Raw genomic sequence first — 16,761 nt, forward strand, 5'->3', positions numbered from 1 at the left:
GCTGCCTAAGTGCTTTTTATCTTCCTGTATTTTTTTCTGTCTTATATCCATTTTACTTCCCTGCTCCACATAGAGAACGAGGAAGAGAAGGAAAAGCCTACAATCAAATCAGATTCTTGAGCTTATCTCTGGTGAATACCATCTCACCAACAGCTAAATCTGCAAATGGCATTTAGCCTCCTGCTATCTTCCTGGAGGCTGAGCCTTATGCTGATAGGAGAGAAAAAGATCAGGCCAAAAATCCTGTCTTGTCTACATTGTCCCTGATTTCAGGCAACTGGACTACTTTGGGTTGATTCTGGAATTTCCCCTGATGTCATATGAGTTTCTTTGGTGACACTTAGACTCTTGATTGGTCTCTCAAAATCTTGAGGTCATGCTTGACGAACGAGTACAAGTTGGGGTTTTCTGTGGTAACAACCTCAAAATCCCAACCACTCACCACATGAAACAGTTTTCATGGTTCAGCAAGTCAGCTGCAGCTCTGTTGGCTTGATTGGGATCAGCTGGAGTTGCTGCTGGACTATAGATTGGTTTGATACCTGCTCCATGTGTCTTCTCATCCTATCACCCAGTTGGAGGAACAGCCACAGGATGTCCTTCATGGAGCAGGTTGACCTTGTGAAGGAGGGCAGAAGGTTGGGATAAGTGAGAAAAATGCCTCTCTTAGAAGCTTCTGCTCAGAACTGGCACTCTGACATTTCCATTCACAGTCCATTGGTCAAAGTAACTAATTCACAAGTCCAAGGTCAATGGGGTGAAGCTGTATACTCTGCCTACTAGAAAGTATAGACATGTTACGTGAAAATGGGTAAAGGTGTGCTTCCCTATTATAGGGACAGAGCAAAGATTTGAAAAAAAGAAAATCCTATCCGACCACACTAACTATATAATGACCTGAAAAAAGGTTCACCATAACACACGCCTATTTTTACTACATATTCTTAGTTCCAAGGTAGTATAATAGGTAACATAATCACAGAAGAGTGCCTGTCTCAATCATGGCCTCATTTAATTTAATTTTCCTGGAAAACTGGGAAAGAAAGAATTCTTCCACTTCTCCCCACACCCAATGTCTCCATCTGATCATGTATGCACACTAGAGGACATACTCATTTGAATATAGAAGATTTATTGTTTCTCCTCTTCAAGGGGGTGTGTAGTGGAAATTGCTTGGGATCTGCTTTCATATGCACATGAGTTTCAGTACAACTCAGGAATTAAATAGCTAAGAGGAATTTGGGGCCCTTTATTGCACCTCCCCAGTCTCCACTTATTTATATATAGCATGGGAGACACAGGACCTTCTTCACTGCATTGCTCTGCAGATTAAATGAGATAATCTATGGAAATGATCTACTATGAGTCTCATAAAAATTAATTTCATTTCTCTTCTCCTAAATCTCATCCATTATCCAAGATCAACCTTATATTCCAATGTCTCCTCTAAACCACCTTTAACTTCCTCCAGAATTAACTGAGCTTCTTCTCTTCTGAACTTTTGCAGTTCTCTAAGGGAGGGATCCATAATCTGCTCCTGGGTTCATGAATGGATTTCAAAAGCTAATAGACTGCCGTTTTCTTCTCTGGAATCAATATGAAATATTTTGCATATGAACCATATGCATCTTCTGGGGAGAGACTACATAGTATTCATGTGAACTTCAAAATGGTATTGGATCGAGAATAGGTTCTGAACCATTGAGCAGAGATGAACTATTGACCCTTGTCATGTACCACCTTGTATGCTGGGTATTGTTGCATGCCATTAGCTCCCTTTCTTCATCTATATTGTGACTTTCTTGAGGGAACCAAACATATACTCCATGGCTTATGTATATTCTACAACTTGTAGCATACGCTGAACACTTGATGAAAATTCAATATTTGTTAATTACTCAAATAAGGGTTTTAAAAATACCATCATCATAACCACCAAGGTGACTCTAACAAGTGAAACATTTAACAACAATGCTGAAGGAATGTAGAGAAAAAATCACTTGAAACAAAAACAAGCAGAAAACTCTGATGGTAGCAGAATCAGTCTGTCTGCGGACCCCTTCTGGTCCTGGATGAAGGGTGCCAACAGTCCCTTGTACCATGTCCTACAATATGTCCATGAAACATTGCATCAGATGTGATTATACATATCTCCATGCTGATTAAAACTCATATTCTTACATTTTCTAAGAGAAATGTGGAATACTTTAGTGATTATAAGTATAGCTATAGGTTAGAACTGGAAGAGAAAGGCTGTTAGAGAAGTGACATTTTGACAGAATGTTGGAGTGAAGCAGAGTAAGTCTTGTTAGGGAACTCTGAGCTCTCTTTGCAAGCAGAGCCTCTCCTCATCTATAGATTGATGTTTGGGTCCAAATATAATTTGGGAAAAGGAAGAAAACAACAAATAATGATAAATGAAATTGTTTGTGCTTTTTCATCCTTTCCTAGGAAGCAAAAGAAATGTAGGGTTGAGATCATTAACCCGAATTATAAACCTCACCCAAAAATATTTTCTAGAAAATAAATTTCTAAACATTTAAGAATCTTTAACTTAATTGTAAGAACTGAGCAGGTTTGAAGGAGAAAGAATGGTCAGGAAACTCTAAAGAAGATGTAAGCATGTTGACAAAAGTTAGCGAGCAAGCGTGTTGTCAAAAGTCAAGGAGGTTTGTTGGTCCTTTGCCTCCTTATTGGTGATGACTTTCAAGATTCAGGTCTTTGATTCCACAAGATTTTCAAAGTGATTTTAGGGGACACATCATCAAGGGCAGCATGGCCATAGAATTCATAAGACACGCTCTCTACATAAAAATTCATAAGCATACATATTCTCAAGTCAATCCTCTAACACTTTCAGAGGGCCAGATTCCATATGCCTAGCAACAATTCTATTTTTTTGTGTGTTTTATCCTTCTTCTCAGCTTCCTTGCTAGGCTTTAGGGAATTAGCAGGACTTACCACCAATTGGATTGCAGAGCTTTTTGGCCCAGAGTGAGGCTTGCTATCATCAGGTATGTAAAATCTTGCCCAGTGTAGTCAGAAGTTAAAATCAAGCCATCATAAACCTGCAGGACTTATGACCCTGAAGGCCCTGGGGGAGTTTCTTGGACGAGACCTCAATGGAACTTTGCCCAAAACCCCAAATGGGAAATATATATGAACTGATTCTGTGCAGTGTGAAGGCTGAGGCAGCAGCAGAATGCTTTTACAGACTGATACAAGGATAGATTAGCACACATTTAATCCTAGGTTGGGGGTTTAGAGGAGTCAGTCTTCCTCAGTCCTTCCTCCCTGTTCGTTAATGTTAATAGTCCGGAGTGCTGGGTTTAATGGTAGTGGGCATTTTTCTTTTGTGACACAATTATTCTATATTTAAGCCAATTAGAAAGTCGTTTCATGAAGAGAGGGAGTGCCAGTGGGACACTAGTGTGGCTACAATTTGCTATAGGATTGTAGACTTCTAGTCTAATTGAGGTTGGAGAAATAAAAGGAAATTTTTAAATAGCTATCTGATGACAAAAAAAATAACATCACATTTAAAAGTATCTACACATCACTGCCTTTAAGAAAATCTGCTCCCATACAAACGTATAGAACAAATAAATTCAGAGCTATTGTTTATATTACACAAATTCTTTTTTTTTTTTTTTTTTTTGCTAGAGTTTCCATAAAGGATAAGTTTCCTGGTTACATCGAATACATATTTGATTTCCAATAATCCAATAATACCGCTTTTCAGGAACCAACTTATTGTGAAGAGAAAGCTACTTTGCAAAATTATTAGAGCAAAAAGATGCCATGTTGAAAAAAGCCTCAAGAAATAAAGACAAAGTTCTTGGCCACAGTTTGTGAGAGACAGGGGAATTACAGGCTGTTTTGAGAAAAGCTGAAGAGACAGTCTCCCATGGCGGAGTCTGTCAAGATGTCGTATGCAAATGTCATGATGTATTCTGAGTGTGCAAATAATCTAGCGGCACACTCTAATCAGAAAATACAGACAACACCAAAGCTGTAGGGTTTATCCCTCTTGGTTAGATTCCATATTCAATTCTATATTCCATCAGAGTTTAAGCAAAAAACAAAAACACATTAAATTACAGGTCTCTGAATGAGTATTAGAAACCTCCTTTCGAAAATTTGTCTCTAACAATGGAGAGTTCTTTGCAGTTGGGCACCTCTAAGACATACAACACACACTTACCTTAACTTCTAGGTATTTTAAATTGTCTGACTTATCATAAGCTCTAAATATCAGCACTTGTAGCTGGAGATTTCTACATCCTATTCCCATGCCAGTGGAAAATGAGAAGTAAATATATTTACATACAGTGGCTCTGCCAGAAGAACTAGAAGCAATGAACCTTTCTCCCAGAGGCACTGGGAAATTGCCCAGGGATTGCTCTAATAGAGGTGGGTTGGCTACGTCAAGGCCTGCAATCTACCTGATTTTTTTCTTTTGGGGCTTTTCTTCTCATCTTTGAGAAATGCTCTGGAAGTCATTAAGAAGAATAAAAGGATAACCTAGGATTTGGAACAGTGCTGTTGTTAGACAGACAGTGTGAGTTCAGGGTGGCCTGCTTAGAGTGCAGACTCAGATTTTAGTTCTTGGATGTGTCCAAGATCTCTAATTGCTTGGACTTCTTTGCCCTTTAAGATTTAAGCAACAATGGGTATGAACCCCATGAAAAATATAGTAGTATATCTGGTGTCTTTTCTAACATATCTAGAGGCTCTTGGTGGTGGTGGTGATGTTGGTGGCAGTGAATAGGGGTGTGTGTGTGTGTGTGTGTGTGTCTGGTGTTAGGGCAGGGGACTTTCTCTTGGTGCTCTGACTCTGAATTATTACTTGCAATGAATTCTCTGGGCCATCTTGGCTGTTTCCTCCTGTTCCTTTCCTTCACCATGTCATCCCACTGGGCACAATCCCATCCCCCTTTGTGTCCAATCCTCCCCTGCCTTCCCTCCCTTCCCTTCCCCTCCCTTCCCCTACCCTTCTCTCTCTCTCTCTCTTTCTTTCTCTCTCTCCCACCCCACCTTCTTTCTTTTCTTTAGAGACAGAGTCTCACTCTGTTGCCCACACTAGAGTGCAGTGGCCAGTGGTGTGATCATGGCACACCGTAAACTTAAACTCTTGGGCTTCGGTGATCCTGTAGCCTCAGGCTCCCAAGTAGCTGAGACTGCAGGTGTGTGCAACTACACCTGGCTATTTTTTAAAAAATGTTTTTTGTAGATATGGGGGTCTCACTTTGTTGCCCATGCTGGTCTTGAATTCTTGGACTCAAAGGATCCTCCTGCATTGGCCTCCCAAAGTTCTGGCATTACAGGCATGAGCCACCATGCCCAGCCCTAATCCCTTCTCAACCAAAGTGCGCTGACTGTATGGCAGTCTTCACTAACAGTTTGGGACTAGGATTACACAATATAAAAATCTATAATGGAAACTTCACATCTTTCTTCTTACTGTGATAATTCCTGGAACCAGGAATATTTGCTTTGCCATGTTGCTGTTTGTCTCCAACTCATTCATCATTCTTCCTTCTCCTCTCCAGCTCATGTCTCATCCTTCTCTCCAGCTTACACCTCATTCTCCTCCCCTCAAATTCTTATTTATTTTATATAGAGATCAGTTTAGCTAATATTATGTTTCAGTTCAAACCTATCTAAGTCTGTCCTTAACTGCATTCCCAAATAAGCCCAAAGACGGTTCTTTCCTTGGAGGAATTCTACTACTTAGCGATAGTAAAGTAATTATGTTCAATGAATTCTCTCTTCCCAGCATCACTGCACACCTATCACTCAATCAGTAAAAGTACATTTTGAACATCTATGGAAGCCAAGACTTCAGAGTCTTTTAAATCTACTTCCTCTGTAGGCATGGCAGAGCAGTGGCCCTTTTTTATTGACCACACCAGCCGTGGAGGTGAAATCATAAAGGCCCTGGGATTTCTCCTCTGCCAATTCTAACCCCATTTTGTGCTAATGAGTAGAAATGGGAAGAACACAGGTTTTCCTTGTCAAGTTCTTTTCTAAAATCTCCCTGTGGTTCCAAGAGACCCCTGCTCCCTGTTTCTTCCACCACGCCACGTATGAAGCTGGGGACCAAGTACTCTGCTAAGAACTGTTGCTGTTCTCATCCCAGTTGAGAACTGATGCTTCCCTGCATTGGGCCAGGCCCAGTGATGACACTTCAATTAGAGCACCACGAAGTGGCTTTAATCCATTCCAAATAACTCTGTTTACACAAACAGCATTCAAAGTCTGTTTCTAGGTCCATTTGTTCCCAAGTCCTTCGTGATTAAAGGTTTAAAACTAGGCATGTAATTTTCTTTTGTGCTAACATATGTTCTTTTGAGCATCTTCTTTTGAAAAAGTAAAACCAGTTTTGCCCATATTGAAGTTCTAATGTAATAGGACCATCTTCTACCTACACCCCACCGCACCTTGCCTCATGATCTCTGCAAGTTATATCCGGAATACTTTAGCAGCTACTGTATCCACACTCATCAACACTCCCTTTGATGCTGTGCAGTCCATCAGAAACACTGAAAAATAAAAGTTTCTGTAGCAGACTTTTACAGTTAAGTTCTCCATCATGCTCCTGGACTTCTTCTGAATTAACATTAGGCTAATAGATTTTGACATTAAGAGTAAATATTTCATCCTCCACTTTTCTTTGTTTCTTGCTGATTACTGTCCTTTGCTTAGAGATTTTCACCTTGCATGATTTGTTCTTCGTCCTTCAAAATTACTTGTACAGATGAATGGCTCATCCTGGGAATCTGTGGACCTCTGTCGTTTTCTTGGCAATTTGGATTTTTTTCTGCTTTTGAATTTTGTTTCCATGGCCATCAGAACATTTTTAAATAGCACTTTGAAAGTTCTTGGTGCCTTTGTACTTATCAAAAATTAAGCACTTCCAGAAATAAAAGAAACAGAGGCATCACAGTGTAGACTAACAAACGAGAGGACTGTTGAACCTAAAATATGAGCAATGACAGCACCTGTGGTAGCAGGCAGAGTTCGTAGTATTTTGCTTTGGGATATCACTTGATGACTGTGAATGTATATATGCTGAGAGTTTGTAGGGGGATGACATCTGTATATCTCTCTTGCTATTGAAGCATTCTTGAGAGGATCCCTAACGGCTGGGTCACTGTGTAACGTCAGTCTGTAATATGTAGTTAGCATTCCTAATTGAACCTCTATTCTGAGATGTACTCATTAATTCTATGCCTTAAGAGCAGCTAGTTTATTTTCCAGGGACCTTCCTCTCAGCTGCTGGCAGAGATTTCTTCTGCCTGCCTTTGTCCAGGAGGCTTCACCTCTGAGACTTCGTGAGGAGTGGAGAGAGGAGGTAAAGAGAGCATTATCAATATTTCTACTGAAGTATCTTTCTTCCAGATGGCAGAGATGCTCTCATGCACATAACTTTCCTAGTGGCCATGCTCCTTATTCCAGTGTTCCCCAGAAATATTGCCAGATTAGGTTCTTATCATGATCCTTGCTAGAGTGAATTAATATCAGGACTTGCAAAGTTTTTCCTCTATTTCTCTCTAGACTAGACAGTCCCCAGTGACAAAATAGAATCACTGAAGATTTCACTGAAGATTCAGTAAACCTTTGCTATTCCACTGCCTCTCCATCCCAGGGGAATCACAGAGGGAGTAGGAGTAGAGGAGCTAGATGTAGTCCCAGACCAAACCTTGTCTTGGCCTGCTTGATACACTCATGAACCCATAAGAGTTCTGTTTCACTAATTTTATAGGATTTTGCCCTATAGCTTAACCCAAAAGATGCCAAGGCTTTACAATAAATAGTTACCCTGGAAACTCAGGGAAACCCAGGATAAACCCAGAGTATGAAATCATTGTTTAGAATGTCCCTGGCCTGCTCTATCTAATTCTTGGTTAACGCTTTTTGGACGGGCTCTCTGTTGCTGAGGAGGAGGCCTGAAACTGTACATGCTTCATAAACAGATGAGAAGTCAAACTGCTTCAGAGGGGACCCAAACTACAGGCAAAAATCCCTGCTTTGAACTTCATCAAAATGCTTTGTTTAGCTTTAATTCCATACCAAATAAAATGCAAACCTATGCCTGTCTCTCCTGTGTACTCTTAGCCCCATACCTGTTAACATCTTTGGTTCTTCAGTTTCACAAGTGTCACATGCACATTTCTTGGACCCATTTTGTTCTGGGAATTATTGCATAGCACCACCTCATATAAAAAACAAGAAAGAACAGTAAGACAGCTGTGTGCTGTCATGATCACGATTAGTGTTTCTATGGCATATTTTTCCACCCTTTTACTTTTAACCTATTTGTGTCTTTACATTAAGATTCATGTCTTTAAATAGACAGCATAGAGTTGATCTTGCTTTTTTATTCATTATGAAAGTCTCCACCTTATTGTAGTTTACTACATTCACACTTAAGGTGATTACTGATCTGGTTGGGTTGAAGTCAGCCATCTTGCTGTTTGGTTTTTGTCACATCTGTTCTTTCTTTCTTGTTTTTCCTTATTTTCTGCCTTCTTTTGGATTAATTGAGAATTTTTCATGATTTTATTTTATGACCACTTAACAGGTCATTATCCAGAACTTGTTGATTTAGTTTTTAACAGTTGCTCTAGATTTACAATCTTCCTCTTAAAATTTTCGCTTTCTATTTTAAAATGATACTACACTATTTCATGCTTGAAGAAAGAACCTTACCACAATATATTTTCATTTCTATTGTCATTACTTTGGCTATTAAGGTCATACATATTATAAAATCCCTAATACATTTTTCTTATTTTTACTTTAAACATATGTATGTCATTCATTTCACAATACATTTCTACTAGTTTTGCTTTATCTTTAAGTAAAATAAAAATGGACAAGTTTTAAATATTTATTCAAATACCATTGCTAGAGTGCTCATGCTTTGACTGGAAATGAATTCTATCTGATTTTTCTGTTTGTCTAAAAAAGTCTATATTGCTGCTTATTTTAGGAAGATGTTTTTGCTTGATTTGGAATTATAGGTTGATAGGTATTTTTTTCTGTTTTCTTTCCAACTTTTAGCATGTTAAAGATGTTATTCCTTTGTCTTTGAGCTTCATAGTTACTGCCAAGAAATCTATTGTATGTGTTACCCTAGTTCCACTTAAGTAATGCCATCTTTTTTTCTCTGCTTTTAAGATTTTTCTTTTATGCTTCTTTCCCCCACCCGCCCTCTCCGACAGAGTCTTGTTCTGTTGCCCAGGCTGGAATGCAGTGGTGTGATCTCAGCTCACTGTAACCTCCACCTCCCAGGTTCAAGCCATTCTCCTGCCTCAGCCTTCTGAGTAGCTGGGACTACAGGTGTGCACCACCACACCCAGCTAATTATTTTCGTATTTTTAGTAGAGATGGGGTTTCACCACGTCAGCCAGGCTAGTCTCTTGACCTCAAGTGATACATCTGCCTCGGCCTCCTAATGTACTGGGATTACAGGTGTGAGCCACTGTGTCTGGCCTCTTTCATGACTTTTTAAAAGAAATTTGATTAGTATGTACTGGACCTTGAACTATTTTTTCGTTTTTATTTTGTATATATTTTTCTTTGGGCTCACTGAGCTTTTTGTGTCATCAGATTTGGAACAAATTTCGGCCATTATTTCTCCCAAAATTTGTATTCTTTCATTCCTTCTCCCCTTCTCAGGCTATAAAATACATGTTAGACCCCTTGTTATTATCTCACAAATCAGAGAGATCACTCATTGTTTCAGTCTTTTCCCTACATTTCTGCTTCATTTGGATAATGTGTGTTACTGTGTCTTCAGTTTCATTAATCTTTTCCTTTGGAGTGTTTAATCCTTTTCATTTAAGATATTGTTGTTTTTTTTCCTAGATATTTCATTTGGTTTAGTTTTATATTTTCCATTTATATCCTCACTACGTTCATGTGTTTTATTAAATATTTGAATGTGGTTAAAATAGTTTTTAATGCCTTTGATTGCAATTTTATCATTTTCATCATTTGCTGATCTATTTCTTTTGAAACACTTTTATCTTGGTTATGAGTTGCGTTTTCCTGCTTTGGAATGTTTAATAATATTTTATTTTATGCTGAAACTTGTGAATATTATGTCACCAACTGTCTGGATTTTGTTGTCACCCTTTAAAGAGTGCTGGCATTGCTTTTGTGGTTCAGTTTGCTGTTCATTTTGACCCTCTTGAGACTTTTTAAAACTTATTAAGGTGATTCTACAGTACCCTACACTGTTACGGATATTTAAATCCCCTTCTAAAGTATAGCCTTTCTGGTGTTTCTACTGAGTGCCTGGAGTGGTAAAGACTTTCTGTCTCATCTGGTCAGGAATATAATACCTCCTGTTATTTTTTATTTCTTATATATTTTTCATTGGGTTCATTGAGCTTTTTGTATCATCAAATTTGGAGTAAATTTCAGCCATTATTTCTCCCACAATTTTTATTCTTTCACTCCTGTTCTCCCCCGTCTCAGACTGTAAGTATACATATGTTAGACCCTTTGTTATTATCTCACACATCACAGAGATACATTCATTTTTCATTCATTTTTCAGCTCAGCCCCAGGTGAGCTCTGTAAACCATTCAGTTCATAACTCCTGAGCTGCTGCTTGCCTAGTCCCGTGATTTTCCATCCTGTGCATAAGATCTTAGTATTCAACTAAGACTCAAGAGGACCTCTATTCAGATTTCAGAAACTATTTTTCTGCACAGGGCCCTGCTCCCAGAACTTCCTTGCAACTTTTTGCTATTTTAGGCTTCCTGAAGTCTGATTCTCTCTCTCCTTAACTTAGCAAACCTGCCATGCCATGCTTGGGACACCCCCACCTTCCTTCATGGTCTGCAATGTGATTTCAGGCAGAAAGCAAGCATAACTGTAGGAACCATCTCTCTTTTTCCCCTTTTCTCAGAAATCAGAATACTGCTGTGCATGTTGGCCAATGGCTGCGAACAGCTGTTTCATTTTTTTCCCCCTAGCTTTCTAATTGTTTATTTGGGGAAGGAAAATCAAATCTTTGCTACTTCTTCATGGCTGAAAGTAGACTATGCAGCTGGGATTAAATTCAGAATATAGAGGTGGAGCGAGTATTCTGAATTATACAGGTGGGCCCAATGTAGCCACAGGTGTCCTTTACAAGTGAAAGGAGGCAGAAGAGCCAGTCAGAGAGAGAGAGAGATGATGACAGATGCAAAGAGTGGAGTGGTTATGAGAAAAGGAATTCTGGCAGCCTCTAGAAACTGGAAAAAGCAAAGGAGAGATGAGAGATTCTCCCCTAGAGCCTCCAGAAGGAATGCAGCTTTGCCAACACCATGATTTTGCTGTTGTAAGGCACATTTCAGACTTCTGCTGTGAGAAAATAGATTCGTGTTGCTTTAAACCACTGTTTGTGACTATTTATTACAGCAGCAATAGGAAACTAATACAGTTTTTAAGAAAACATTGTTCCTGTATTAGGCTGTTCTTGCATTGAAATGCCTGAGACTGGGTAATTTATAAAGAAAAGAGGTTTAATTGGCTTGTGGTTCTGTAGGCTTTACAGGAAGCATGATGCTGGCATCTGCTCACCTTCTGAGGAGGCCTCAGGAAACTTACAATCATGGCAGAAGGAGAAGGGGGAGCAGGTACGTCACATGGCTAGAGCAGGAGCAAGAGAGAGGGAGGGATGCCACACACTTCTAAACAGCCAGATTTTGCAAGAAGACATTCACTATTGCAAGCATGGAACCAAGGAGATGGTGCTAAACCATTCATGAGAAATTCAGCCCCATGATCCAATCACCTCCCACCGGGCCACACCTCCAATACTGGGGATTACAGTTCAACGTGAGATTTGGACAGGGACACATACCCAAACTATATTAGTTCCTGTCTTCAAGGACACTATTGTTAATGCTGAAACATTTCTCAATTGGCCTATGTTAGCCAGTCTCAATTCAGTGCACTTTGTGCTACATTAATATTTTCTAATTGCCAGGCAGTGGGGCACTACCATCATGACTTTACTATAGCTTTGTAGCACCTGATACCACACCAGTAACTTTTGTGGGCAGTGTAACGTGAATCACCATGATACCAGGTACTGCAACCTCTCCGTTAGCAAATATGTTTATGTAGATCACAAGTTTGAAATTCTAATTATATTCTTTTTGAATGTGCATTAAAATATGCCATATCTGGCCAGGCGCAGTGGCTCACATTTGTAATTCCAGCACTTTGGGAGGCTGAGGCATGTGGATCCCTTGAGCTCATGAGTTCAAGACCAGCCTGGGCAGAATGGCAAAACCCCATGTTTACAAAAAAATACAAAAATTAGCCAGGCATGGTGGCATGTGCCTGTAGTCCCAGTTACTTTTGAGGCTGATGTGGGAGGATCCCTTGAGCCCAGGCAGTGAAGGTTGTGGTGAGCCAAGATTGTGTCACTGCACTTCAGCCTGGATGACAGAGCCAGACCCTGTCTCAAAAAAAAAAAAAAAAAAAGCCATATCTACAAAAATTATTCTCCCACATATCCCCATATATGAATTACAAACCATCAGTGATGCACATCAATAATTTGGGACACCCAGCTGTACTCCACCCAGTATTTAGCAGGATTTTCACATGCTGGAGCTTTATGTTGGAGACTGTAGCTTGCTTTGATACGGCATGGGTTAAGCAGCAGGACTACCCACCAGTATAGCAACAATGATGGAAAGATGCCAGAAACCTGGACTCTTGCTGATCTCTGATGCTATTAGGCACCAATCTTTAATCAACTCTCCTCTCCTGAGAGCTTGTAGATAGGTGTAATTTGGAAGAGAAGCACAGGGTCTTGAACTGTTTGAAACACTCCCTCCCGCAGGCAGACTCTCTCAGTCACTCCATGCTAATGCTTTTCTTGAATGAAGAATAGTAGGGGGAAGAAAAAAAAATTTTAAAAAAGGAGATCTTATGTCAGCAAACTCCTGGAATTTGGTGTTGATTTAGGTAAACTTGCCAGATTCTGGCATATGCTAAATAAAACAATGAGCTAGAGCCTGTGGAAGACACAGCCCAGTTGAACACATGATGCAAAGCTTTTCCAAATTTTCTGCGGGAATGAGTTGGAACATACAAGAGGCCATAGATTCCAGCTTTAGCAATTACACAGTTGATCACACCAGGCCTAACTGAATTTGGCATGACTTTGAGGGCTGTGGTTTTCTTATACTTGTCTCCCTTGCCCCCTCATGCAGCATGCAGGGTAAGACATTCCCAGACAATCTCTGCACTGTATATGCCACACTTATTCTTCCACCTCAGGAACACTGTATTCTCTTCTCCCTCATCACTGATGAACTCCACAGTAACCACAGTAAGGAAGATGTTATGAGTCTTCATCCTGTCCCTCTTGGTCTAGTCTAGCAGAAAGAAGACAAGAGCCATAAAACCTAAATTACCCACCTAGTTTAGCCACATACTCACTATGTGACCTTAAGTAAGATCCCAAACTTTTTTGAGTCTCTTTCCTTATCTACAAAATGTCAACAATAATACCTTAAAATGTTAGTAGTTCAAATAAAATTATATGATGAATAAAGGGAAAAATTATGTGAAAAGTATTTGTAAATATCTGATAAAGTGCCTTTCTTTGCTCCATTATTGCCTGGAAACAGATTGTCCTGTAGCGTCTCTGTAGGCAAATATCTTAATTAGTGATTCTTTTATTTTCACAAATGTGGAGAAGAGTGGAGAAATATCAGATCCTGTTGTTTCTGTCTTAAGACACTTGGTTCATATTTTCACTTTGAATCAACATCATCTGGCCACAGTTTACGTTTCTGACTTTATTTCCTTTTGCCTTGGACCTATCTAGCCATACCAGCCTCACACATAGCAAAGTCATTTCCAATTCATAGCCTTTACAGGTTAGACTTGCTTTGACTGGAACTGTCTTCCTCCCGCATAGATGGCTCCTTGCTTAAATCTCACCTTCTCAGACACCCTTTCCTCTATTGCTGTATGTAAAGGGATCCTCTTGTTTCATAATCCTTTATAACAGTGCCTGCTATATTTCTTTCGTGTGGCTGATCATAAACTCTAATTAATCTGCATGTCAATTTCATGGTCAGTATATTATCTGTTGTCAGTAAAATGAAAACTCTGTGATTTTCGCTTTAGATATAATGAAGAAAGCTCAAAGAAGCAGGCATTCATTTTGGCAAAAGACCCCTCAGTGCTTTGAGGAGGGGCATGATGCTGTGGTGAGTTTTGAATCTTCTTCTGGGTTTCTGTTCAAGAGGATGCAGTCCTTAAAGGAACATAGTAACGTGGTATTCTTCCTCAGCACCCTCAGCATCTAGCCCAGGGCCTGGCACATAGGCCTCAGTATGTTGTGGTTTGGACAGAATGAAACCTGCCTCTCTTTTCTGTAATGGACTGCCCAGTGAGTGCATAGCTGCTCCCCTTATCCAAGAGGGCTAGCAGCTCATGTTGACCTCACTGCCAACCTCAGTAACTCAAACTTTGATTACTCTTCATTCCTGGGAACGCCTTTCACTTCTCCCCACACTGGCTTGCACCAAATCCTTGAGTCTGTGCATAGGCAGCAGGGACTTTCCAGCTTCTGTACTACTAACTTCAGGGAACACTTAGGAGAACTTGTTAAACATAGAAATAATCGATGATAACACTCACAATAACTTGAGCTAAAACATAGTCTAACATGCAGCAGGGACTATTCCAAGAGTTTTGCATATATTAATTTATTTAATCCTTACAATAACCCCATAAGGTAGTTTACGATTACTTCTTCCATTATACAGCTGAGGAAACTGTGACATAGAGGGGCTAAGTAATTTGTCAGTGACAGAGCTGGGCCACAGCCAGGACAGTCAGGCTCCAAGGACTCTGTGTTTAGCTGTTCAGCTATAAACATTGCAGTTCTTCAAGACAGGTCTTCTGGGCTTATCATCAGCCTTCTCTAGGCAGATGGTATATTTAGCCTTTAACTAAATGTTAAATGTTTTATTTATGTAAGTAATGCATGAGATAAATTCTTCTATAAAGCAATTAATACATTCAAATAAAGTAAAATTCCCCTTTGACCATCTTTTGTAACTCTAAATGGCTCCTTCCTTCTCCAAGGGCAGCCATTGTACCCAATTTTGTGTTTATCCTTCCCAAACATTTCCTATACATTTGTATGAACCTGTGTGTCAATCAAACGTACAAAATATTGCTGTGGTTTCTTTATCAATTGTGCATATATAGTAACATGTACAAATAACAATAATTGTATATATATTAGGCCCTTCCTCTGACAATGTACATTTAAGTGGTCTATGCCAGGTACAGGGTTGATATTCAGCTGGTACACAACAGTATGGCCATGGCTATAGCTGCAATTCTGAAACACTTCTGTAATAATTTGGTAAATAGGCCCTACTGCTCTCCTGGGACCAGGGCCAACTTATTCATTAGGCACACTAGGCACAATGCCTGAGGCCCATAATGCATTCAGCCCCCCACCCAAATATTTCAATTTTAGATTTTTAAAAATAATAAGAAAAAAATGAACATAATAATGAATATAAAATTATGAATCTAGCCAAGATTGTATCTGTCTTTTTACCAACATAGTCATAAAATATAATTTTTGATATAATTTATATAGGACGGGGTCCACAGAGGGAAAAGTACCTAGGTCAGTACCTAGGGCCCGGCCTGGGTCCTCCCCATGGTCCAGCAAGTACAGGGCCACTATCTGCCAAAGCACGGGTTTCCTGAGCCCTCTCTCTATGTTTAGGCTGGAGTTCCTAGGTATTAGGACTGGTCAAGGTAGTTCTATATGTATGAGTAAAATTTTTGAGTATCATTCATAGCCACATATATTCCAAAGAAAAAAACATGCTGGCTCATGCAGGGATATTTCTGATGCAAGGATCAGAAAACTATGCAAATGTGCCTAAGCCAAATTAATGGTGTGTGTGGGAGTCTAGAGCCGAAGAGCAACCAGGCCACATGGGGGCCTGGAACAGCATTAAAAGAGTTTCCAGAGAACCCAGTGGCTACCCCTCTCTTCCTTTTCAGGCCATGTGGCCTCTCTTCTGCATCCCTTGGCTTATCTGCTTCCTCCCTCTTTCTTTTTGGTCCAGATTTTCACTTCTGCTTTAGAGCTCTGCCATAAATGTGATGCACCTCCCACAAAACAGTCTTGGTGTTTTTCATTTCAGATTCATATGTGAGACAGAATCTATTTGGCCTAACTTAGGTCAGATGTTCATTGCTCATCTAGTAAGCTAGGGCCACAGGCCGAGGAAACGGCAGCAGAGGTGGAGTCTGGTGGTACTTGCATAGACACTCCAGAATGTCAATGTCATCCCATCCTTTGATTATCCAGTCAACACACCCTTCTGCCCACACACACAATTTTGTTGATCTTAACGTTGGTCTTGCTTAACATGGGCTGGCCTTTTCATAAATAATTACAAATATATTCCCTCCATTATCAGGAGCAGCAACCCACAGTCCCTTCCAGCTAATGCATGCAGAGATCATGCCATGGGCCAAGACTCTGAGAGTGCACAAACTTCCCCTGAGGATGTTTGCTCCTGAACCCAAATTAACTCGTCAACCACTGATTTGTTAAATGATCGTCTTAACTGCCATATATAAAATAGTGGATGAAAAGAATTTTAAAAAGTAGAAATTTTAAGTATATAGTTAGTCTTTGTATAATTTAGCAGCAAATATGGATGTACAGGTAGAGGTGATAGACCCTAT

At 39.8% G+C, this 16,761-nt stretch overlaps 1 annotated feature.

Annotated features, from left to right (window-relative positions):
- Positions 266–365: an enhancer, noted in NCBI's record as "active region_28217". NCBI's record gives its function as "activates an Ori minimal core promoter by ATAC-STARR-seq in GM12878 lymphoblastoid cells {active_cell/tissue: GM12878}" and the evidence as "EXISTENCE:reporter gene assay evidence [ECO:0000049][PMID:35858748]".

This window comes from Homo sapiens, chromosome 9 (assembly GCF_000001405.40).
Source record: "Homo sapiens chromosome 9, GRCh38.p14 Primary Assembly".
Classification (NCBI taxonomy): Eukaryota; Metazoa; Chordata; class Mammalia; order Primates; family Hominidae; genus Homo; species Homo sapiens.